At 45.0% G+C, this 25,452-nt stretch overlaps 1 protein-coding gene across 7 annotated transcripts in view, besides 1 other annotated feature; it reads right to left on the bottom strand.

Annotated features, from left to right (window-relative positions):
- Positions 1-25,452, bottom strand: part of IFT52 (intraflagellar transport 52) — a 56,363-nt gene that overhangs the window by 15,339 nt on the left and 15,572 nt on the right. For 5 of the 7 annotated variants that reach the window (NM_001323578.2, NM_016004.5, NM_001323580.2 and 2 more), the window contains exons 7-10: positions 17,985-18,111; positions 12,935-13,021; positions 11,036-11,104; positions 7,916-8,070 (exon numbers count right to left, since the gene is read on the bottom strand). In NM_001323578.2, coding sequence (NP_001310507.1) covers positions 7,916-8,070; positions 11,036-11,104; positions 12,935-13,021; positions 17,985-18,068 — 395 coding nt within the window. In that variant the 5' untranslated portion in view covers positions 18,069-18,111. Of the gene's footprint in view, positions 1-7,915; positions 8,071-11,035; positions 11,105-12,934; positions 13,022-13,607; positions 13,721-17,984; positions 18,112-25,452 lie in introns of all 7 variants that reach the window. The other 2 variants (NM_001323579.2, NM_001323581.2) reach the window with 1 other exon arrangement.
- Positions 23,755-24,596: an enhancer, noted in NCBI's record as "H3K27ac-H3K4me1 hESC enhancer chr20:42236005-42236846 (GRCh37/hg19 assembly coordinates)". NCBI's record gives its function as "activates a minimal SCP1, AML or CMV promoter by ChIP-STARR-seq in naive H9 embryonic stem cells {active_cell/tissue: H9 hESC(naive)}" and the evidence as "EXISTENCE:reporter gene assay evidence [ECO:0000049][PMID:30033119]".

The raw sequence follows: 25,452 nt of genomic DNA, 5'->3' as shown, positions 1-25,452 counted from the left end.
AGAGCGAAACTCTGTCTTAAAAAAAAAAAAAAAAAAGACAAATCAGAGGAGAAAGAGACAGGGAAGGGGCAGAGGCAGGGAGTGTGGCTTGTCAGAAGAGCCCTGAGTGAGGGAGGCGGGAAGTCACGCAGTTATCTTCAAAAGTGTCCCTGGCAGAGGCAAGAGCAAGAACAGGCAGAAGGGTGCCCGGCATTTTCACAGAATAGCAGGCCAGCCAGAGTGACTCCAGCAGAGGATCAGTGTTAGGAGCGAGCCTACAGAGCTGAGCTCATCTTACCCCTGCATTATTTTTCTATTGTGGCTTCTCCTTTGCCTTCATTCTCTCAAACATTCATGTTATCCTTTTGCATTGTATGCAATTTTTTAAGCTGGCTAAACTTTTCTGGGGAAGAGGCAAAGTAAAATATTGTCATCCAGTTTAAATTGTACATATATTTGTAGCCCTTCAAAGTTAAGCTAGAAAACCAAATGCCAATGAGTGGACAAAGATCATGGCAGCTTTTTTCTATGAGTGAGGTCTGTGACTGCAGAAAGACGATTAAATGAGCTCACTGCTGTCACCTCCTCCACTATTTCCAGGTGCTTGGGGAGAATCTTTCCTAGCACTGAGCAGCAGATCTCCACAGAGGGAAGAGAAATAACTTTTATCAAGCACCTGCTATATGCCATGTATTATGCCAACCCTGTGTTAGGCACTTAAACTTATTTAATCCTCAATACAACTGTGGAAAGTCGGATAATCTCTTATAGAAGAAACTGAGGTACAGGAATGATAAACAGTAGCTTCCCCAAATCATATGGTTAAGATGGGACAAAGGCAAGATCAGAACTCAGACGTAGCCAATCTCTGCCAACCAGAATCTTTACTTTGGTCTGCCCCAAAATCAAAAGTGATTAGGGGCAGTTTTAAACTAAAATTCTTACTACCTGCTCACAAAGAATCCTGCTGCTGAGTCCTAGCCTCAGCTATCCCAGCTGTGAATTTATTTCCGCTTTCTGTCCCCAGAGAGAGCTGACTGTGCTGGAGCAAAGGCTTTGTCCCATTAAGTCTTCCCTTCCTCCACTCTGCTCACCACCTGCCCTAATTATCCTCCTACCATTAGCCAACATGGCTTGATGGGAACCGGGTAAGGGACTGGAGAAACTCATCTTAAAACCAAGGGAAGAACAGATGCAAAAGCTAAATATAAATCTGTGAAATGGCGCTGAACTAGATCTTTCGGGAATGGCCTGACCTCTGGCACTGCGTTTTCACCACTCCATGTTTCAAGCCCCAGCCCATCAGACCATGAACTCTAAGGGCAGGGACTCCACACCATCTGCCTCTACCTCATACTCCACAGGCATTGATAAACACCCAATGGACAAATGAAATTACTTCAGAGCAACACCCTGTAGTTGACATAAATATTTAAAGCCTAACTGAATTTTAACTCAGAAAAGATAAACTATTGAAAGATGTTACTAGCAAATGAAAATATCTGAGCTTACCATATAGACACCAGAAGCCAGTAACTACTGGCCTCTGCTGTGGTATGTAAGACAAATACAAGAGTTGTCTAAGTCTCTGAAACATCCACTATTTGACTCTGCTGACACTAAGACAGTAGGCAGTTCCAATTAATCCTTCATTTAACACTGAAGAATTATCATAATGATCTGGTTTAAACATATCAGGGGAGAATTAGGCCAAAACAGCAGAAGCTGGTCAGACTGCAACTGGCTAGCGGAGTGGTCAGATGTATCTTTTTTTATTCTAAGAAAAGCCCTGAGCTGCAGAGGAGGAAGAGAACACCAGAGCTCAAAACCAAGCAAGTTAAGAGCCAAACATGCAGCCAGGAGCTACAGGATTTGTGACCAGGCTGTTACCTGTGGAAGGGGTGATGCAGATGTCACGCCCTGGTAGCTCTGAAGGCTTTGGTCCTGCTGTTTCTTAAAAGCACCCTCACCTCCTACAGTAACACATTTTCAGATAATTTCTTCCAAGATTCAGAGTTAAAATTGCCTGGCTTCAAATTCAGGTCCCAATGAAAACTAGTTGTGTGATTTCAAGCAAATCACTTAATTTCTCTGTGCCTCAGCGTCCTCAGATGTAAAATGGAGATAACAGCCTCACTGTGGTTGTTACATGATAATGCAAAGTACATAAATGTTAGTTGTTATTAATATTGAAGGAAGGGGAGATGAGAGGGGAGCTAAAGACAATTGTTAGTCAGGGCTTGATTAGTAGCTGTTTAACTTAGAGCAAATTGTCCCAAGCCTCAGCTTCTTAGAAGTTAACTATGGAGCTATTCTCTACTTTTCAGAATTGTTGTAAACAGTAAATGTGGTAGTATTTGCAGGCTCTTGGCAGAAAGTGGGGGTTCAATGTCTGTAAAACTTAAGTTGGGGCCGGGCTCGGTGGCTGACGCCTGTAATCCCAGCACTTTGGGAGGCCGAGGCGGGCAGATAACGAGGTCAGGAGATCGAGACCATCCTGGCTAACACAGTGAAACCCTGTCTCTACTAAAAATACAAAACATTAGCTGGATGTGGTGGCAGGCGCCTGTTGTCCCAGCTACTGGGGAGGCTGAGGCCGACGAATGGCGTGAACCCGGGAGGCGGAGCTTGCAGTGAGTCGAGATGGCGCCACTGCACTCCAGCCTGGGTGACAGAGCAAGACTCCATCTCAAAAAAATAAAAAACAAAACAAAAAAACAAAAACGTACAACAGAGCTTTTGGATATGATGTATAAGGTTTTACAAAATAAGCTAATTAAAACCACAATTATAGCAGTTACTGTTTATACTAAAACATGCAACTAAGTAATTCCTGGGCATTTACAAAAGATATTGCCCCTTCCTCTTTATACTACTTGCTTGACAAAATCACAATAGTTAAATCCATGTCTGGGCCCACTCTGCCGGCAGCTACACAGCTAAACAAGTTTGGAGGAAAACATACCACTCTACTGGTTTGTAGTTAGATCCAAAACCTCTAACCTCCCGTGGGACTGGCAAATCCTTCTACAGAAACCTTGTCTACTCCCTCTCCCACTCCCCTAGAGGCCTAATATATGCCTTCTCTCCTAAATCTCCACTATCTCTTTGGCAATTTTTTTTTTTTGAGATGGAGTCTCGCTCTGCCTGTCGCCCAGGCTGGAATGCAGTGGCGCGATCTCGGCTCACTGCAACCTCTGCTTCCCAGGTTCAAGAGATTCTTCTGCCTCAGCCTCCCGAGTAGCTGGGACTACAGGCGCGCACCACCAAGCTCGGCTGATTTTTGTGTTTTTAGTAGAGACAGGGTTTCACCATACTGGCCAGGCTGGTCTCAAACTCCTGACCTCGTGATCCGCTCGCTTCGGCCTCCCAAAGTGCTGGGATTACAGGCGTGAGCCATCATGTCCGGCTTCTTTGGTAATTTTTAACTGATGATCTTGTTTCCTATTTCATCAAAAGGACTGAAGCCCTGAGAACTTCCACAATCTTCAATCAACAACTTTTCTCATCCACCAGAGTCTGCACCCATGTTTCCCATCTGTGCTTGAGTAGGCGATTTTCCCTTTACAGCGTAAACAAAGCTGCTGGGAAGTCTGAACTGGGTGGAGCCAACTGCAGCGCCACAAAACCACTGTAGCCAGACTGCCTCTCTAGATTCCTCCCCTCTGAGCAGGGCATCTCTGAAAGAAAGGCAGCAGCCCCAGTCAGGGTACCAACTGAATGATCCATGATTCTGTCTAAAAGCTAAGACTGGGCTGGGCGTGGTGGCTCATGCCTGTAATCTCAACACTTTGGGAGGCTGAGGCGGGTGGATCACTTGAAGTCAGGAGTTTGAGACCAGCCTGACCAATATGGTGAAACCCCGTCTCTACTAAAAATACAACAATTAGCCAGGTGTGGTGGTGCACGCCTGTAGTCCCAGCTACTATGGAGGCTGAGAGGTAGGAGGATCACTTGAACCTGAGAGGCGGAGGCTGCAGTGAGCCGAGATCGTGCCTCTGCACTCCAGCCTGGGTAAAGAGTGAGACTGTATCTCAAAAAAAAAAAAAAAAAAAAAAACTCTCTCTCTCTCTCTCTATATATATATGACATAATAAAAATAAAAGCGAAGGCCAGGCTGGGAATGGTGGCTCACATCTATAATCCAACACTTTGGGAGGCCAACGTGGGAGGACTGCTTGAGCCCAGGAGTTCCAGACCAGCCTGGGCAAGAGTGAAACCTGTCTTCAAAAAAAAAGAAAAAGAGCTAAGACAACTTACCAAACCCCCTTTCCCATTGTCTCTTGCTTACTCTTGTGTTTCACGCCAGCCATTTTCCTCGCTCTCTCCTACATTATCCATTTTTCTCTCTACTGGAACATTCCCACCAGTATAAAAATATCCTGTGACTTCTTCCATCCAAAAAACACCTTCTTGACCTTACTTCCTCCAGCTAGTTACTGACCCTGGCCCTTGCCCCTGCTCTGTTCCTCTCTGTAGCAAATACCATAAAAGAGCTATCTATGTTTGCTATGTCCAATTCTCTCTTAAACCAATTTCAAATGAGCTTTCACCCTCACCATGTCATAAAGAAGACCCTGTCTAGATCACCAGTTACCTCCATGTTGCTAAATCCAATGATAAATTCTCAACCCTCATTTTTTATGACCCATCAGAAGTATCTGACACTGCTGATTACCCTTTCCATCTTGACAGACTTTCTTTGCTTGGCTCTCAGAATACCATGCACTTGATTTTCTTCATCTCACACTCGCTGGCGCTTTTCCATCTCTTCTTTTGGCTTTTCTATTTCTTCCTTTCTTTTTTTTTTTTTCTGAGATGGAGTCTTGCTCTGTTGCCCAGGCTGGAGTCCAGTGGTGTGTTCTTGGCTCACTGCAACTTCTGCCACCCGGGTTCAAGTGACTCTCCTGCCTTACCCTCCCGAGTAGCTGGGACTACAGGCGTGTGCCACCATGCCTAGCTACTTTTTTTCTATTTTTAGTAGAGATGGGGTTTCACCATGTTGGCCAGGCTGGTCTCAAACTCCTGGCCTCAAGTGATCCACCCACCTCGGCCTCCCAAAGTGCTGGGATTACAGGCGTTGAGTCACCGTGCCCAGCTGGATTTTCTGTTTCTTCCTAAATTCTAAACTCTGGGGTGCCCCAGGGCTCAATAGATGGTCCTTTTTTCTTCTCTATCAACACTTTTAACACTTTGTGAGCTCATCCAGTCACATGGCTTTACATACTATCTACCATATTTCATCAAATCTAAGAATCCACCAAAGGTAAGATGCATCATAATTTATGGTCCATTGAAAGAAAAAAAATGCTAATTAAACTCATACATCATCTATTGTTAAGATTCATCCTGAAAAACAGAAAAAAAGGAAAAGAAAGAAAAAAAGGCAAAAAATAAGAAAAAAGATTCATCCTGATTTTATAGATTTGAAAATAGGTCCAGGTGCTGTGGCTCATGCCTTTAATCCCAGCACTTTGGGAGGCCGAGGTAGGTGGATCACCTGAGGTTAGGAGTTCGAGACCAGCCTGGCCAACATGGTGAAACCCCGACTCTACTAAAAATACAAAAATAGCTGGGCATGGTGGTGCTACTCAGGAGGCTCAGGCAGGAGAATTGCTTGAGCCTGGGAGGCAGAGGTCGCAGTGAGCAGAGATTGCGCCACTGCACTCCAGCTTGGGCAAAAACAGTGAAATTCTGTCTCCAAAAAAAAAAAAAAAGGAAAAGATGTATGCTTTAGATGAAGTACAGATGTGCCCCCAAACTCCCAAATTAAATGTGCAGCTCAGAGATCTCTTCTGACCACCAGGTTAAAATATAAAACTGCTACTAAACATCATCTGGATACCTAATTGACATCTCAACTCCATATACCTCAAACTGAACTTCTGCTCTTCCTGCAAAATCTACTCGCAGTCTTTCTCAACTCAGTTATTGCAACTTTTTTTTTTTTTTTTTTTTTCCGGAGACAAGATCTCTCTCTGTTGACCAGGCTGGAGCGGGTCACTGCAGCCTTAACCTTTGGGGCCCAAGCAATCCTCCCACCTCAGCCTCCCAAGTAACTCATGCCTGAGTTACTGTGACCGCTCCCTTCAGGCCCTACCTCCATTCTTGCTCCTTGACGTTCGGGATATAAGGAAGTCATTATGCCATACCTCTGCTCAGAACTCTCAGTGGCTCCTCTTTTCACCCAGAGTGAAAGCCAAGGAAGTCCTTACAGAGGCAAAAAAGTAGGCCAGGCCTGATCTCCCACCATTCTCACCCCTACTCACTCTGCAGTGGCCACGATGGCCTTGTTGCTCTTCCTTGAATGTATCAGGCATTCCTCCGTCTTGCAGTCTTAGGACTGGCTGTTTCCTCTGCCCAGAATACTCTTCCCTCAGATAGCCACAAGGCTAAATTCTTTACCTCCTTCAGGTTTTTCCTCAAATATCTAACCTTTTCAATGAAGCCATCCTGATCACCCTATTTTTTTTTTTGAGATGGAGTCTTCCCGTCACCCAGGCTGGAGTGCAATGGTATGATCTTGACTCACCGCCATCTCTGCCTTCTGGGTTCAAACGATTCTCCTGCCTCAGCCTTTGAGTAGCTGGGATTACAGGTGCCCACCATCGTGCCCAGCTAATTTTTGTATTTTTAGTAGAGACGGGGTTTCGCCATGTTGGCCAGGCTGGTCTCGAACGCCTGACCTCGCGATCTTCCCATCTTGGCCTCCCAAAGTGCTAGGATTACAGGTGTGAGCCACCACGCCTGGCCTGAACACCCTATTTAAAATGCAATGTGCCTGGCACTCCCCTACCCCAGTACTCTGCTTGACGTATGTAATCATCTTCTAACATATTCTTTAATTTACATCACACATATAGAAATGTCTTGATGCCTGTCTGTTTTGCTAGATAATAAACTTCAAAAGGGCAAAGATTTTCATTATTGAGGTCCCTGAAGCATCCCAAGATCCTGGAAAAGTAGTTGTGCCACAAATACTTGCTGAGTGGATGTATAAGCAAGGCACAAGGAGAATGGCAGCATGCTAATTTCACAAACATCCCCCAAATGCCCAGGATGTGCTGGGCTCTGGGTCTTAGGCAATGAGGATTCCAGGTTGATAAGACATGGCTCTTGCTCTCCGGATACACGGGGGTGAGAAAGGAAGACAAGCTAAACAATTTTCTCCCTGAGCAAAATTCAGGTTAGAAACAGTGAAGATGAGCCCTGGCCCTTTCTGAACCCCTCTGCTTCTGTGTCATTTCCTCCTCCTTTGCCTTCAGGATGCTGCCCGCTGTCCTGTACTTTTAACTGCTTTTCCCCAGCTTCTGTCTTTGGCCCTCTTCTTCTCCTGCCTCTCAAGCACTGACAGCTGTGAGGTCCTGTCTCAAGGCCAATTCCCATTCTTGTGCTGTCCCTGATGTCCTCATCCCATCCCACGGCTTCCCTAACGGCTTTACAGATCTTTTCATCTTTAAACTTGTAGTTCCACCTGCACATCCGCACTAGACTGAGAGTGCCCAGAACACAGCCCATTTATCATTCCTTTTCCTGCATTCTAAGTGCCAGTTAATAGCATTACCAGTTGCCCAGATACCCAGAGAGAAATGAGGTGACCACCATCTCCATTTACTGAGGGACTTGGGACTCCATTTTCCTGGGACTTGGGACTCTCTGTGCTAAAACCAGAAGTCTGGGGCAAAATGAAACAAGCTGGTCAGGCTAAATGCCTGGTCCAGAATCTGGAACACGCAGGGGCTAATAACCTCTGGCAGTTCCTCTACATCAACCCCTCATGCCCAGCCCAGTTTCTTTGTTGACCTCATCATAGATCTGAGAACATGTTCTGCATGCCACATTTACTGTGACCCTAATTCCCGTTCCCAGGTTCATGTTTCCAAACCAAACACTCAGAATGGAGTGCAGTGTGGCTCAGAGGCCCACAGGTACTGACTCGATGACGCTGTGGAAGGAGGTGGTATCCAGCTGGAAGATGGACAGGTCGAAGAGGGTGGTAAAGTCCCTTGGGATCTCATCACTCTCCTGGAGACACTCTCGATTCCGCTTTGATAGGGTGGCTGTGTAGGGCAGCATCATGTAGTCAGAAATCTGAAAGCCACAAGAGGGTTCCTTTTAGCACAGCAAGAGCAAGCATTTATTCTGTCAAGTCTCCACTGTCTCAGGTCTAAATCTGCAACATTTATATTCTCTTGCCAAGAAATTTTACTGTTCATGATCACTGACACTAAACCTTAAATAAGCCAATTTATGTGCAAAGAGGAACAAAACTCACTTGGCTAAACCCCAGTACTGGCTAAATCCAAATCTCCAATTACACCAGTACTCACATGGCTGAAAACAGCTGGAGAAACATACAACCCTATCAACTGGTCTTTTAATTTCATGATCTCTGATCTTGAGCGCTCAGCAATCAACTACATCTCCGTAGTCTACTCACTTTCCCATTCTTCTAGACAATAATTCCCTTTTGTCAGTTCAGCCATCAAAATGATTTTCCCAGCTGGGTGCAGTGGCTCACACCTACAACACTTTGGGAGGCTGAGGTGAGTGGATCGCTTGAGCCCAGGAGTTGGAGATCAGCCTGGGCAATATGGCAAAACCCTGTCACTACAGAAATACAAAAAAATTTAGCTGAGCATGGTGGTGTGTGCCTGTAGTCTCAGCTATTTAGGAGGCTGAGGTGGGAGGATCACCTGAGTCCAGGAGGTCAACACTGCAGTGAGCCGTGATCAAACCACTGCACACCAGCCTGGGTGACACAGTAAGACTTTGTCTCAAAACAAAAAAATTGGTTTTCCCTTTCACCATTTTAGCAATGACCTTATTTTCTATTTTAGTAAGAAAATAGAGGAAATCATGAAAGAAAGTCCACAAGCTCCCACCATAACATGTGCCCACCCCCTAGCATCCAGGCCCTATCTGCTTCTTTCCTCCTGATACATGCCAGAGCACCTGTGACACCAGTACAGACAGTTCCTCCACTGCTACACTAGATCCCAGTCCTTCTCCCCTAGCCAAGGACATCCCTCCAGCATTGCTGAGAGCCCTCAGTCATGACACATGCTGTGGACTAGTAAAAGACCAGGAAAACATAAATGCCTGCCAACAGGAGAGTGGTTAAATATATGTATATATTTATATTTACACATAAAAATATGTATATATTTATATTTACATATAAAAATATGTATATATTTATATTTACACACAATTTGTATATATTTATATTTACATAAAAATATGTATATATTTATATTTACATAAAAATATGTATATATTTATATTTACATAAAATATGTATATATTTATATTTACATATAAAATATATATAAATATAAATATAGAATATATATATGTATAAAAAATTTATTTTTTTTGAGACGAGTCTCGCTCTGTCGCCCAGGCTGGAGTGCAGTGGCATGCTCTTGGCTCACTGCAAGCTCTGCCTCCTGCGTTCATGCCATTCTCCCGCCTCAGCCTCCCGAGTAGCTGGGACTACAGGTGCCTGCCACCATGCCCGGCTAATTTTTTTTTTTGTATTTTTAGTAGAAATGGGGTTTCACTGTGTGAGCCAGGATGGTCTCCATCTCCTGACCTCGTGATCCGCCCGCCTCGGCCTCCCAAAGTGCTGGGATTACAGGCGTGAGCCACCGCGCCCGGCCGAGAGTGGTTAAATATATTACACTTAAATAATGAAGCAAAATATCCACATGCTTAATGTTTCCACATAAGGAAATATTTTAGACATGCAGCTCTCCTGTTTCCTAACCCAAATCAGTCTCTGAGAAGCCATGTCCCTAGTGAGGGAGGAAGCAGTCAGTGGACAGCCATCTTCGACTGTCTTCTCACCTACCTCCTATGACCAATGGCCAGGAAATCATTTTCCTGACATTTCAGAGTTTAAGAAATAGAGAAACAATTGTAGAGTAAGTGCAGTTTGAATTAGGAGACCTGGATTTGGATCCTGGCTCTGCACTTGCCTGCCATTTGAACACACTGCAATCTTGAAGGATTTCAGTTTCCTCATCTATAAAATGAGAATAAGACCATGTGCCTCCCAGGGCAGTTATGAGGATTAAATAAGATGACTTATGTGGAAGTATATGGCATACAATGCCTGACACATTACCATCTATTAACTTAGCCCACACAACCATCCTGTGAGGCAGAGAACACGGGTATTAGTGTTCCCTGTTCACAGATAAGAAAACTAGAAGGCTGGGCCCAGTGGCTCACGCCTGTAATCCCAGAACTTTGGGAAGCTGAGACAGGTGGATCACTTGAGGTCAGGAGTTTGAGACCAGCCTAGCCAAAATGGTGAAACCCTGCCTCTACTAAAAATACAAAAATTAGCCAGGCATGGTGGTTCACATCTGTAATCCCAGCTACTCAGGAGGCTGAGGCAGAAGGATCGCTTGGACCCAGGAGACAGAGGTTGCAGTGAGCTGAGATTGTGCCACTACACTACAGCCTTGGGCGACAGAGCGAGACTCCATCTCAAAAAATAAATACAATAAAAAATTTTTTTAATAAAGAAAACTAGGATGAAAAATGGTCAGAAAGAACCTGTATAAGGTCCAAGAGCCGGTGGTGATTTCACTGTGCTGGTTTCACCACTTTCCCTTGTCTGATGAATATTATTATAATGCCTTTAGAACTGTTAAATCTAAAGGCAACAAAATTATAGTTTACAACATAAATTCTGATACTCTTTGTTTCTTTATGAGAAAATTTCAGATTTCTGAAAAAAGTATTTTTCTGCAGATGCTCATTTTGAAAGTCTGGGCCAGAGTGCCCATAATTTAAATTCTAATTTATATACATACTGTATGTATGTATGCTCCCCCTCCAATTAATTCTATGATTAATTACATATATTGTTTATTGACTTATTTTTTACAATATGGCCTTCATCTCCCCCAAATCATTCCTTCGTTCCATCTGTCTTACAGATGAGTTAAGACAGTCATGTATTCCTTTTGAGCTGTGAGAAGTGGTACTGAGAAGCTGGACTCATTTTTCATTTAAAAGTTTCTAATAATTCGGTGTCTACCTCTGGGTCCTCAGCATCAATCTGGTTTAGGTGGATGTCTCCTGTCGTGAGCCACTGGAAAACAACATCCTAAATTAAAAAAAAAAGTATATAATTAGGACAGTTGGTTATTTGAAAAAGCTGAAGGTCAGGACTAGAGAATTAAATCAAGAAGAATGATAAAGGAAGAAAGATTAAACCAGTGATTCAGAAAAGGGTAGCCAGCCTTGTCTTGATGCAATCATATGAGAACTCAAAGGTTTTCTTCACCCTAATGCACCTTTTATTTTTGAGACAGAGTCTCGCTCCGTCGCCCTGGTTAGAGTGCGGTGGCGCAATCTTGGCTCACTGCAACCTCCACCTCCTGGGTTCAAGCGATTCTCCTGTCTCAGCCTCCTGAGGAGCTGGGATTACAGGTGCCTGCCACCAGGCCTGGTTGATTTTTGTATTTTTAGTAGATGGGGTTTCACCATGTTGGTCAGGCTGGCCTCGAATTCTTGATCGCAGGTGATCCACCTGTCTCGGCCTCCCAAAGTAGTAGGATTACAGGCATGAGCTGCCATGACCAGCATAATGCAACTTTTATTATCAGAAATTTATAATGTATCTTTAAGCACCCTAACCTCTAACCACAAGCTAAAATTTATTAACCTTTGTTCACAATCCTGAATTAATCCCTATTTACTGTGATGACAGTCTGAAATTAAAACTTTTGAAAAGAAGAATACCTAGGCCGGGAGTGGTGGCTCAAGCTGTAATCCCAGCACTTTGGGAGGCTGAGGCAGGTGGATCACCTGAAGTCAGGAGTTCGAGACCAGCCTGGCCAACATAGTGAAACCTCATCTCTACTAAAAATACAAAAATTAGCCTGGTGTGGTGGCGCACACCTATAATCCCAGCTACTCAGGAGGCTGAGGCAGGAGAATCGCTTGAACCCGTGAGGCGATGGTTGCAGTGAGCTGAGGTGGTGCCATTGCACTCCAGCCTGGGTGACAGACAGAGACTCCATGTCAAAAAAAAAAAAAAAAAAAAAAAAGTAGAATATCTAGATCTCCCATAATGTGTCTAGAGACATTGAAACTTCATGTAAATTCCACAGAAATAAGATCTTTATCAATCTCCCAATATAACAATTATAAGGCGTTTCTTTCTCTCACTGGAATCACCAATGGACAGCTCTGGCACATGCTGTACAGACATGTGCTTCCCTACTCTGCCATCTTCCGTAAGACATGTTCCCTTGGCATTTTTTTGACAAAATTGCAATGCCTTTACTTTATTTGCCACATCAGTCAGTGAGTAGTCCTCTACAGAGCCTTTCCTAATTCCCATTCCTACCAGCCCCTCCTCTCCACTCACACCTTGACTCCCGTAATTCAGGTCCCCATTTCTCCTTGCCTGGTGACACCACCACCTTCCTAATTGGCTCTAGGCTGCCTCCTCCTTTCCACTTTCCACACAACTGACAGAAGAATCTTTCCAAAACATTCTAGAAGTTCTTTCATAAACAACAACAACAAAAAAAGAAGAAACACAGATCTGGCTATGCTCAAGGCTGCTGAAAACCCAAGGGCTCCCTGTGGCTTTCAGCATCAAGTTCAAGCTCCTTGGCCTTACACGTGATACTGCTATTGAGCCTGTTCCTCTCCGCTTCTCCAGGCTCAGCTCCCACCCCACCTGACATGCTCAGAAACACCCTTCTGGGTTTACTAATTTGTCTCTCTCTCTCTCAGTGTATTACAAACTTTTCCAAAGCAGGGACTGGGACTATGCCTGACTCGACTTTGTATTCTCAGTGCCTGGCATATAATGGGTTCTGAGTAGCTGCTTTTAAATGAGCAAATAAACTTACCAGTATTTTTTTAAATGACATGAAAATAATACACATTGTATATTAATATGACAAAAGAAAAAGCTTACCATGATTTTGCTGTTTTCTTCTTTGTCCAAATATTGATCACTGAACATGTGACATGAACCAAGCACTGCCAGCTTCCCACCTTGGTTCTATTGATGACAAAGCAGGGTCAGATACTCAAATCCGAAAGTGCATCTCATGTATCCTAGTACCCAGACACTTATTAGAATCATGCTAGCAACTGTCTTATATACTGAAGAGTGCCAATTCACACCCAGATTTTAAAGTTTAGAAATACCAACTATAGGCCAGGCGCAGTGGATCAGCCTGTAATCCCAGCACTTTGGGAGGCCGAGGCAGGCGGATCACCTGAGGTTGAGAGTTCAAAACCAGCCTGGCCAACATGGTGAAACCCCGTCTCTACTAAAAATAAAAAAAAATCAGCCAGGTGTGGTGGCATGCGCCTGTAGTCCCAGCTACTCGGGAGGCTGAGGCAGGGAAATCGCTTGAACTTAGGAGGCGGAGGTTGCAGTGAGCTGAGATCGCGCCACTGTACTCCAGCCTGGGCAACAGAGCGAGACTCCATCTCAAAAAACAAAAAAAAGAAAGACCAACTATAATAACTACTACACTTTAACCTGCCTCTCATTTTAGATACTTCTATATTTTTTTATTTGGCTTTAACGAAAACTAACATAAATTAATTCTACATTAGCTGGGTGTGGTGAGGCATACCTGTAGTCCTAGCTACTTGGGAAGCTGGGGCAGGAGAATCACTTGAGCCCAGGAGCTCGAGGTTACAATGAGCTATGACTGCACCATGCACTCCAGCCTGGGAAACCCTGTCTCTAAAAATTAAAAAAAAAAAAAAAAATTAAATTGATTCTACAGCATTTTCCTATTGTTGTTTATCTTATAAACGAAGATCATAATTTTAAAGGGAAAAAAGATAAACTCAAAGACAGTCTGTACAATTAAAGATACCTATGGGTACCAAAAAAAAAAGTATTTAAGTAAGATCCAAATAGAAAGCTAAAGCAGGCTGAGTGCAGTGGCTCACGCCTGTAATCCCAGCACTTTGGGAGGCCAAGGTGGGCAGATCACCCTGAGATCAGTAGTTCAAGACCAGCCTAGCTAACATGGGAGGCAAAACCCTGTCTCTACTAGAAATACAAAAATTAGCTAGGGTTGGTGGCACGCACCTGTACTCCCACAGCTACCTGGGAGGCTGTGGCGGGAGGATTGCTTGAACCTGGGAGGCGAGGTTGCAGCGAGCTGAGATCGCGCCACTGCACTCCAGCCTGGGCAACAGAGTAAGACTCAGTCTCAAAGAAAGCTAAGGCAAGGCTGGGCGCAGTGGCTCATGCCTGTAATCCCAGCATTTTAAGAGGCCGAGGCGGGTGGATCACTTGAGGCCAGGAGTTCGAGACCAGGCTGGCCAAGATGGCCAAACTCCGTCTCTATTAAAAATACAAAAATTAGTCAGGCATGGTGGTGCATGCCTGTAATCCCAACTACTCAGGAAGCTGAGGCATGAGAATCACTTGAATCTGGGAAGCGGAGGTTGCAGTGAAGCAAGATCGCACCACTGCACCCCAGCCTGGGCGACAGAGTGAGACTCCGTCTCAAAAAAAAAAAACCAGAAAACTAAGGCACAAGCATGAGAGAGTCATAAAATAATGACTGGTTAATAAGAAAAATTTTCAATACTTGTAACTTTTAACAAATAAAAACAAAGTACTTTTTCCTATCAGATAAATAAATATGAAAATATGATATAAACAGCGCTAGTCGAATTTTAGTGAAATAAGTTCTTTCACACATTGTTGCTGAAACTATTAACATATGCAACAAAAGCAGTCTGAAACATAAAAAATTCTATGCCCAGTTGTGTAGTTATAGTCACAAAAAATTAGAAATAAATCCAAATGTTCACAAAAAAGTAATTCAGAATGATGCAACCTTCTTCAGCAGTTAAATTTCATATTATAAAGGGTTTTCAGTAACATGGGAAAATGCTTCCAACACATCATTCGGTTAAAAAAAAAGTATACTATAATTTTTTTCCCATTTTTAGAGATAGGGTCTCACTCTGTCTCCCAGGCTGGAGTGCAGTGGCACAATCATGGCTCACTGCAGCCTCGAACTCCTGGGTTCAAGTGATCCTCCTGCCTCAGCCTCCCAAGTAGCCAGGACTACAGGAGCATAACACCACACTCAGCTAACTTTTTCGTAGAGACAGGTCTTACTATGTTGCCAAGGCTGGTATCAAACTCCTGGCCTCAAGTGATCCTACCTCCTTAACCTCCCAAAGTGCTAAGATTATAGGCATGAGTCACCATGCCTGACCTATACTATAAATTATATTGCTATTCTACTTTAAAGCTTACGAGGCAAATAAATAAAAATAAGGCAAAGCAAAAGTAGGAGAAAGTGAATAATATGTCAACCTGGGCTGTCTTAGAGTCTTGGAGTAGTGCGATGGGGGAATTTTTTTTCTTTTGCTTTATCTCTGTATTGTTCATTTTTTCTACAATTATTGTAACATTTCTACAATATTACTTTTTTTTTTTTTTTTTGGAGACAGTGTCTTGCTCCACTGCCCAGGCTGGAGTGCAGTGGCATGATCTTGGCTCACTGCAACCTCCGCTTCCAGGGTTCAAGTGATTCTCTTGCCTCAGTCTCTGGAGTAGCTGGGATTACAGGCACTCACCATCATGCTGGGCTAATATTTTTGTATTCTTAGTAGAGACAAGGTTTCACTATGTTGGCCAGGCTAGTCTCGAACTCCTGACCTCAAGTGATTTGCCCGCCTTGACCTCCCAAAGTGCTGGGATTACAGTTGTGAGCCACCACGCTCAGCCCAACAATGAGCACATTATTACTTTTGTAATGAGAAAACCAGTTCAATAGTAAAAATACAAAATGAAATCGGTTTTTTTAGCTACATCACATACAGGGAACAGGCATAGTTATAACTTCCCCAGGAAAAGAATTATACTAAGCCAGAGATGTCAAGAGACATAAATACACACATTACATACATTTTTAAAAAATTGGTAAAAAAAACCCTCTGATTTGTACCAGGTTAAAAGCAAATGCTGCAAAGCCTGCCACCGTGCCTGGCTAATTTTTCAATATTTTTTTTTTCTTTGAGACGGAGTCTCACTCTGCCTCCAGGCTGGAGTGCAGTGGCACAATCTCGGCTCACTGCAACCTCCTGGGTTCAAGCGATTCTCGTGCCTCAGCTTCCTGAGTAGCTGGGATTACAGGCGCGTGCCACCACACCACGCCCAGCTAATTTTTGTAATTTTAGTAGAGAGGGGGTTTCACCATGTTGGCCAGGATGGTCTCAATCTCCTGACCTCGTGATCCACCCGCCTTGGCCTCCCAAAGTGCTGGGATTACAGGCGTGAGCCACTACGCCTGGTCAATTTTTGTATTTTTAGTAGAGACGGGGTTTCATCACGTTGGCCAAGCTGGTCTTGGACTCCTGACCTCAAGTGATCCACCCACCTTGGCCTCCCAAAGTGCTGGGATTGCAGGTGTGAGCCACCACGCCCAGCCCGAGAGCTTTTAAATAAGAAGGGAAAGGTAATTCCTAGGTACCACAAAGAAAAATAGGATTGTTCAGAGCTAGAGACACCTAGGTCCCTAGAAAAAAAATTAGGAGATCAGCTGGTGAATTCTGTCTTAGGGGGCAGATGAAGGTAAATTCAGCAAAATGTGAATTAAAACGCAGTGGGGGCTGGGCACAGTGGCTCATGCCTATAATCCCAGCACTTTGGGAGGCTGAGGTGGGGGGGATTGCCTGAGCTCAGAAGTTTAAGACCAGCCTGGGCAACATGGTAAATCCCCATCTCTATTAAAATACAAAAATTAGCAGGGTGTGGTGGTGCAGGCCTGTAATCCCAGCTACTTGGAAGGCTGAGGCGGGAGGCAGAGATTGCAGTGAGCCAAGATTGCGCCACTGCACTCCAGCCTGGGCAACAGAGCTCATGCCTGTAATCCCAGCACTTTGGGAAGCCAAGGTGGGTGAATCACTTGAGGTCAGGAGTTCGAGATCAGCCTGGCCAACATAGTGAAACTCCATCTCTCCCAAAAATACAAAAATTAGCCATGCTTGGTGGCAGGCACCTGTAATCCCAGCTACTCGGGAGGCTGAGGCAGGAGAATTGCTTGAACCTGGTAGGCGGAGGTTGCAGTGAGCCAAGATCATGCCACTGTACTCCAGCCTGCACAACAGAGTGAGACTCCATCTCAAAAAAAAAAAAAAAAAGAAAAAGAAAGGCAGTGGGATGTTGGGTCACTGCCTGGGACTAGCTGTGCCCACATTTCTATGGGGTCTCTAGGATAATAACTGGAAAAATAGTTTTCTGATATATTTTCCTAGTATAAACTAACAGCAACATAATTCTGTGCTATTTTGTGTAATATGTTAACTCCATCTGTTCCTGAATGTATTCTCTTTACACTGAGGGTGACAGCCCATAGTCACAGACAGGATTAAAAGTTATTTTCATCAATATGCTGCCATGGGATCAAAAAAAAAAAAAAGTTATTTTAAAAGTTATAATACAGCACTTCGGGAGGCCAAGGCGGGTGGACCACGAGGCAGGATGGTCAGGAGATCGAGACCATCCTGGCTAACATGGTGAAACCCTGTCTCTACTAAAAATACAAAAAATTAGCTGGGCGTGGTGGTAGGTGCCTGTAGTCTTAGCTACTCGGGAGGCTGAGGCAGGAGAATGGCGTGAACCCGGGAGGTGGAGCTTGCAGTGAGCCGAGATTGCACCACTGCACTCCAGCCTGGGCAACAGAGACTCCATCTCAAAAAAAAAAAAAAAGTTATAATACAGGTAGCCTCATGCTACAGTGGAAAAGCTTCGGGTTTAGAATAATAAGAGCTAGGTTTAGGCCTTAACTTCATCAATTACTGGACAATCCACTGTTTCCCCATAAGCAAAATGTATATAGCTGAAATGCTACTTTGCAGGACTGGCAGGAAGACCAGTGAGAAAACATATAGAAGCCTTCTGGAAATGGTAAGGTGGTTTTTATTATTTCAACAATAAAAATAACATCTATACCCATATCTAAGAAAAGCTGTACCTTTGAGTGATAGAAAGCCAAAATGGGTCTGTTAAGTGGGAAGCAGACAGAACCTGTAGACAGAACCGCCACTGCTGGTTTCATGACACTCAATGTGGCACCAAAAGGATACACAAAGGTGAGAGCCCTGTAAGAAATTAAAGAAACACATTCAAATTTTAAAAACATGAATACAAAAATTCTGAAAATAATCTCAATGTTTCTTGAGTAACACTCTTTTTTGAAACAGTCTCACTCAGTCACCCAGGCTGCAGTGCAGTGGTGCGATCTTGGCTCACTGTAACCTCCGCCTCTCAGGTTTAAGCTGTTCTGCAGCCTCAGTGCCTGCTATCACGCCCAGTTAATTTTTGTATTTTTAGTAGAGCCAGGGTTTTACCATGTTGACCAGGCTGGTCTTGAACTCCTGGCCTCAAGTGATCTGCCCACCTTGGCCTCCCAAAGTGCTGGGATTACAGGCGTGTGCCACGGTGCTCAGCTGAGTAACACTCTTTGATTCATTATCAAACAAAAAATTTTTTCTAAGCTTTGGTTTGTTAACTTAAAAACTGGGACAACTCTAGCTACACATTTAATAAAGCATTTTAAAAAACATGAAAGTAAATTAACAGGAAAGTGTAAGTGACTGTAACTGGGAGAACTAAAGAAGCCCCTGATGGAGGGAGGAGGAAGAGGATGGGGCCTCATCCAAGAACTGAACTCAAGCTGCTCTGCATAATAATATCTTACTGGTAAATACGTTCTTCTTCCTTAGGTTTGGCTAGTGCTATCTCTAAGAATTAATGTATATCACTGGATGGGTATGTTACCAGTTAAATGTCACATGAACAGAGGCATAAATATACGCTATAATGGACACTTCTACACAGATCTGCTTTGGAGTCCCTCCTCTACTCTCCACTGTCCTAACAAAGACTTGTCTTAGATTATCTAGAGTGAATTGGTCTGACCTGGGGCAATGTACTCCTGGAGAGGGTGTGGGATAGAGGAGCAAAGGTGGGGTGCAGATTCTGGGGTGAAGCCAACCCATGTAGGAGGGGTTAGGGTTTTACTCAAAGATGGAGCTCTGCAAAGCTTGAAGGAAGTGCTCTCAGAATGGAGAGAAACACAGATCTCAACACCAGGGCGTAAGGTTAGAAACTGGGGGAGGGGGTATAGGGGAAGCACCCATGAGGGGTTCCTCATAGAGATTTTAATTTCCCTTTTTCTTTAGACAACAAAAATTCTTTTTGGCTTAAGTTTAAAATTATTTCCCTCTAGTGTTTTTGTTTGTTTTGTTTTGTTTTTTAAGACAGGATCTCACTTTGTTGCCCAGGCTGGAGTGCAGTGGTATGAACATGGCTCACTGCAGCCTCAATCTCCTGGGCTGAAGCGATTCTCTTGCCTTAGTGCCCTGAGTAGCTGGGACCACAGGTGCATGCCACCACACCTACTAATTTTTATATTTTTTGTAGAAACGGGGTTTCACCATGTTGCCCAGGCTGGTCTTGAACTCCTGAGCTCAGGCAATCCGCCCACCTTGACCTCCGAAAGTGCTGGAATTACAAGCATAAACCACCGGGCCTGGCCTCCCTCTGGTGTTAATCTTCCCCATTCCTTCAGTAAAATCTCATCTACCCTATGACTTTTGTTGTCATACTATGAAAGAGAAGTGGTACTTGGCCCACATTCTCCAAACTCCACCTTCTACCCTTACTCCAGCAGTATCCCAGCAAGGTGGATTACAGCCCATGATCTCTGGGCCAGAAGCAGAAGAAAACAAGCAGTTGTCCATGGAGGAAGAAAAAGTAGGTGGGAGAAATAGTCATATGGAGGTCAATGCACATCTATCCCCCACATTTTCCCAAAATGCAATCAATGGAAGATGATTCTCAAGGCATAAGGGAGAACGGACACTTGAGTAGCAAGATAAAAACTATCTGCTATTATTATTATTATTATTATTTTTCGAGATGGAGTTTTGCTCTTATCACCCAGGCTGGAGTGCAATGGCGTGATCTCAGCTTACTGCAACCTCTGCCTCCTGGGTTCAGGCAATTCCCCTGCCTCAGCCTCCCGAGCAGCTGGGATTACAGGTGTGCACCACCACGCCCGGCTACTTTTTGTACTTTTAGTAAAGATGGGGTTTCACCATGTTGGTCAGGCTAGTCTCAAACTCCTGACCTCAGGTGATCCACCCGCCTCAGCCTCCCAAACTGCTGGGATTACAGGTGTGAGCCACTGTGACCGGCCTATTTGCTATTATTTACACTCCTGTATTTCTTTTATTACTACTAAAAAAATCAATGAGACTAGGCCAGACTAACCTGAGGTTAGGAGTTCAAGACCAGCCTGGCCAACATGGTGAAGCCCTGTCTCTACTCAAAATACAAAACTTAGCCGGGTGTGGTGGCGGGCACCTGTAATCCCAGCTACTCGGGAGTCAGGAGAATTGCTTGAACCCAGGAGGTGGAGGTTGCAGTGAGATGAGATGGTGCCATTGCACTCCAGCCTGGGCGAAACTCTGTCTCCAAAAAAAAAAAAAAAAAAAAAAAAAAAGACTGACATTTTGATAAGACTAAGTATAAACTTAAACACCCATCCCCAAAACAGAACTTTCCAAACCATGTGAATGAATAAGATTAGCTCAGTGAAAAGTTTCAGAAAGAGTTTTCCTAAAAGACGGAATAGCTTGTGTAAAGTCCCTAAGATGAATACAAGCTTCACTTATTTAAGGATTGAAACAAAGTCAGTGTGGCTACAGCAGAGTGAGAGAAGGGAGAAGGGACATAACAGGAAATAAGGATAAAGGAGAATCTGAGACTCCAACAGGCAAAGATACCTCAAAGCAAGAAGCAGGACTAGTCCATACCTCAAAGTCTACCAGGAAGCTGTTTCCTGGATAATCCAGGAAAGGAACAACTAGACATATTCCCTTCACTATAATTAATTACAAAGTCATAACGCAACAACAAGTAGGGCACTAGGCTTTCAACTTTACAAAGCACTTTCACAAATATCACCTTACTGAAATTTTCCAACAATTTTGTAAGGTTAACATTATCCCCACTACACAGATAGGGAAACAGACACTAACAGTTACTATGCCTTGGGTCACCCTTGGCAAGTAAGAGAGGGAATCAGGAACTTCTAACAATTCCTTCTAATTCCAAGTCTACAGTTCTTTTACCTATACCAGTTGGATAAGCTGACACAAAGTGAAATAATTAGATTGATTCCTTTTTTTTTTTCTTTTTTTTTTGAGACGGAGTCTCGCTCTGTCGCCCAGGCTAGATTGCGGTGGCGTGATCTCGGCTCACTGCAAGCTCCGCCTCCCGGGTTCACACCATTCTCCTGCCTCAGCCTCCCGAGTAGTTGGGACTACAGGTGCCCGCCACCACGCCTGGCTAATTTTGTTTTGTTTTGTTTTTAGTAGAGACAGGGTTTCATCGTGTTATCCAGGATGGTCCTGATCTCCTGACCTCGTGATCTGCCTGCCTCAGCCTCCCAAAGTGCTGGAATTACAGGCGTGAGTCACTGCGCCCAGCCTAGATTGATTCTTGACAGTCAAAAATATTAACTCTGTGAATTATATTGCTATACATATTCCCCCTTATGACTTGACTTTGTTTCTACTAAGAAAGGTCTTCCCTACTCCAAGAATTTAAAATATTCACTTATTTTTTTTAAGGTTTTTTTTTTTTTTTTTGCGTTGGTGTCTCGCTCTGTCGCCCAGGCTGGAGTGCAGTGATGCAATCTCGGCTCATCGCACCCTCCGCCTCCCGGGTTCAAGCAATTCTCCTGCCTCAGCCTCCCGAGTAACTGGGATTACAGGCTTGTGCCACCACGTCTGGCTAAGTTTTGTATTTTTTAGTAGAGATGGGGGTTGGCCAGGCTGGTCCTGAACTCTTAACCTCAGGTGATCTGCCTGCCTCAGTCTCCCAAAATGCTGGGATTACAGGCATGAGTCATCGTACCTGGGCTTCTTTAAGTACTTCTATGCTTTCTTTTAAAATTTAATTTAATTTAATTTAATTTTATTTTATTTTTTCAAGACGGAGTCTTGCTCTGTTGCCCAGGCTGGAGTGCAGTGGTGCGATTTTGGCTCACGGCAACCTCTGCCTCCTGGGTTCAAGCAATTCTCCTGCCTCAGCCTCCCGAGTAGCTGGGATGACAGGCATGCACCACCACGACAGGCTAATTTTTTTTTTTTTTTTTTTTTTTTGAGACGGAGTTTCGCTCCTGTTGCCCAGGCCGGAGTGCAATGGTGTGATCTCGGCTAAATGCAACCTCCGCCTCCCAGGTTCAAGTGATTCTCCTGTCTCAGCTTCCTGAGTAGCTGAGATTACAGGTGCCCGCCACCATCCTTGGCTAATTTTGTTGTTTTTTTTAATATAGATGGGGTTTCACCATGTTGGTCAGGCTGGTCTTGAACGCCTGATCTCAGGTGATCCGCCCACCTCGGCCTCCCAAAGTGTTGGGATTACAGGCGTGAGCCACCGCGTCCGGCATATGCTTTCATTTTTAATATTAAAAATTTTAGCCTATCCAGAATACATTTTGGGGTGTGGTATGAAAATGAAACTATTTCTCCAAATGTTTACCCAGAATTATGCCATCCATCTCTAATATTTGAAATGCCACTTTTACTATACACAAATAATCCCCACCCTCCATATATGTTTTTGGTCTAATTTTAATCTGTATTATTTATTTTTTTAAAACTATTTCTGAACTATGACCACATTTTATTATTTTTTTGAGATAGTCTTGCTCTGTCACCCAGGCTGGAGTACAGTGGCATGATCACGGCTCACTGCAGCCTCAACCTTCTGGGTTCAAGCAATCCTCTTGCCTCAGCCTCCAGAGTAGCTGGGCCTATGGGTGTGTGCCACCACATATGGCTAATTTTCAGTTTTTTTTTTTTTGTAGAGACAGGGTCCCACTATGTTGCCCAGACTGGTCTTGAACTCTTAGCCTCAACCCATTGGCCCATCTCGACCTCCCAAAGTGCTGGGATTATAGGTGTGAGCCACTGCACACAGCCAATCACATTATTTTATTTTTTAATTTCATTTTATTTACATATTTTTTGAGACAGAGTCTCATCTGTCACCCAGGCTGGAGTGCAGCGGCGCAATCTCGGCTCACTGCCACCTCTGCTTCCTGGGCTCAAGCAATTCTCCAGCCTCAGTCTCCTGAGTAGCTGGGAATACAGGTGCGAGCCACCAACGACCGGCTAAATTTTTGTATTTTTTTGTAAAGACAGGGTTTCGCCATGTTGCCCAAGCTGGTCTTGAACTCCTGAGCTCAAGTGATCTGCCTGCCTCAGCCTCCCAAAGTGTTGGGATTATAGGGGTGAGCCACGGTACCCGGACCACATTATTTTCACTACTAAAACTTTGTAACATGCTTTAACTACATAAGAATGTCAATTTTTACTGGGTAAAATATTTCAAAGTACAGAGGTATTATAAATGAATGCGAAAAGACAAACCATCAATTGAAAAATGGCCAAAAAGCAATGAACATGAAGTTCACAGAAGAAATACAATCAGCCAATAGACTTTAAAGGTCATCCTATGCACTAATAATTTAAAAAAATGCAAATTAAAAGAAAGAGATACGATGTTTACTAGAATACTCCATGCTGGCAAGAGAGGAAAAAGGTGTGTGCTCATAGGGACTGTAAGTGGTACCACCTCCCTGAGAGACATCTGGTAACACATTACATTTGGTAACCCATCTGTTGGAAGACCTCTGACCCAGAAATTTCAATGCTGAGAAATTTACCCTAAAAAATACTCCCACTCCCTCTCCCTCTCCCTCTCCCTCTCCCCACGGTCTCCCTCTCCCTCTCTTTCCACGGTCTCCCTCTGATGCCGAGCCGAAGCTGGACTATACTGCTGCCATCTCGGCTCACTGCAACCTCCCTGCCTGATTTCCTGCCTCAGCCTGCCGAGTGCCTGTGATTGCAGGCGCGCACCGCCACGCCTGTCTGGTTTTCGTATTTTTTTTGGTGGAGACGGGGTTTCGCTGTGTTGGCTGGGCTGGTCTCCAGCTCCTAACCGCGAGTGATCCCCCAGCCTCGGCCTCCCGAGGTGCCGGGATTGCAGACGGAGTCTTGTTCACTCAGTGCTCAACGGTGCCCAGGCTGGAGTGCAGTGGCGTGATCTCGGCTCGCTACAACCTCCACCTCCCAGCCGCCTGTCTTGGCCTCCCAAAGTGCCGAGAGTGCAGCCTCTGCCCGGCCGCCACCCCGTCTGGGAAGTGAGGAGCGTCTCTGCCTGGCCGCCCATCATCTGGGATGTGAGGAGCCCCTCTGCCTGGCTGCCCAGTCTGGAAAGTGAGGAGCGTCTCTGCCCGGCCGCCATCCCATCTAGGATGCCATCCCATTTAGGAAGTGCGGAGCATCTCTGCCCGGCCGCCCATCGTCTGAGATGTGGGGAGCGCCTCTGCCACGCCGCCCCGTCTGGGATGTGAGGAGCGCCTCTGCCCGGCCACGACCCCGTCTGGGAGGTGAGGAGTGTCTCTGCCCAGCCGCCCTGTCTGAGAAGTGAGGAGCCCCTCCGCCCGGCAGCCGCCCCGTCTGAGAAGTGAGGAGCCCCTCCGCCCGGCAGCCACCCTGTCTGGGAAGTGAGGAGCGTCTCCGCCCGGCAGCCACCCAGTCCGGGAGGGAGGTGGGGGTCAGCCCCCGCCAGGCCAGCCGCCCCGTCCGGGAGGGAGGTGGGGGGGTCAGCCCCCCGCCCGGCCAGCCGCCCCGTCCGGGAGGGAGGTGGGGGGGTCAGCCCCCCGCCCGGCCAGCCGCCCCATCCAGGAGGTGAGGGGCGCCTCTGCCCGGCTGCCCCTACTGGGAAGTGAGGAGCCCCTCTGCCTGGCAACCACCCAGTCTGGGAGGTGTACCCAACAGCTCATTGAGAACGGGCCATGATGACAATGGCGGTTTTGTGGAATAGAAAGAGGGGAAAGGTGGGGAAAAGATTGAGAAATCGGATGGTTGCTGTGTCTGTGTAGAAAGAAGTAGACACGGGAGACTTTTCATTTTGTTCTGTACTAAGAAAAATTCTGCCTTGGGATCCTGTTGATCTGTGACCTTACCCCCAACCCTGTGCTCTCTGAAACATGTGCTGTGTCCACTCAGGGTTAAATGGATTAAGGGCGGTGCAAGATGTGCTTTGTCAAACAGATGCCTGAAGGCAGCATGCTCGTTAAGAGTCATCACCACTCCCTAATCTCAAGTACCCAGGGACACAAACACTGCGGAAGGCTGCAGGGTCCTCTGCCTAGGAAAACCAGAGACCTTTGTTCACTTGTTTATCTGCTGACCTTCCCTCCACTATTGTCCTATGACCCTGCCAAATCCCCCTCTGCGAGAAACACCCAAGAATGATCAATTAAAAAAAAAAAAATACTACCACAAGTGCACAAAACTGTACATACAAAGATGTTCACTTATCCCAGCACTTTGGGAGGCCGAGGCAGGTGGATCACC

Source organism: Homo sapiens, chromosome 20 (genome assembly GCF_000001405.40).
Source record: "Homo sapiens chromosome 20, GRCh38.p14 Primary Assembly".
Classification (NCBI taxonomy): Eukaryota; Metazoa; Chordata; class Mammalia; order Primates; family Hominidae; genus Homo; species Homo sapiens.
Note: the sequence above shows the minus strand (reverse complement) of the source record. Positions and strands in the feature narration are given on the sequence as shown.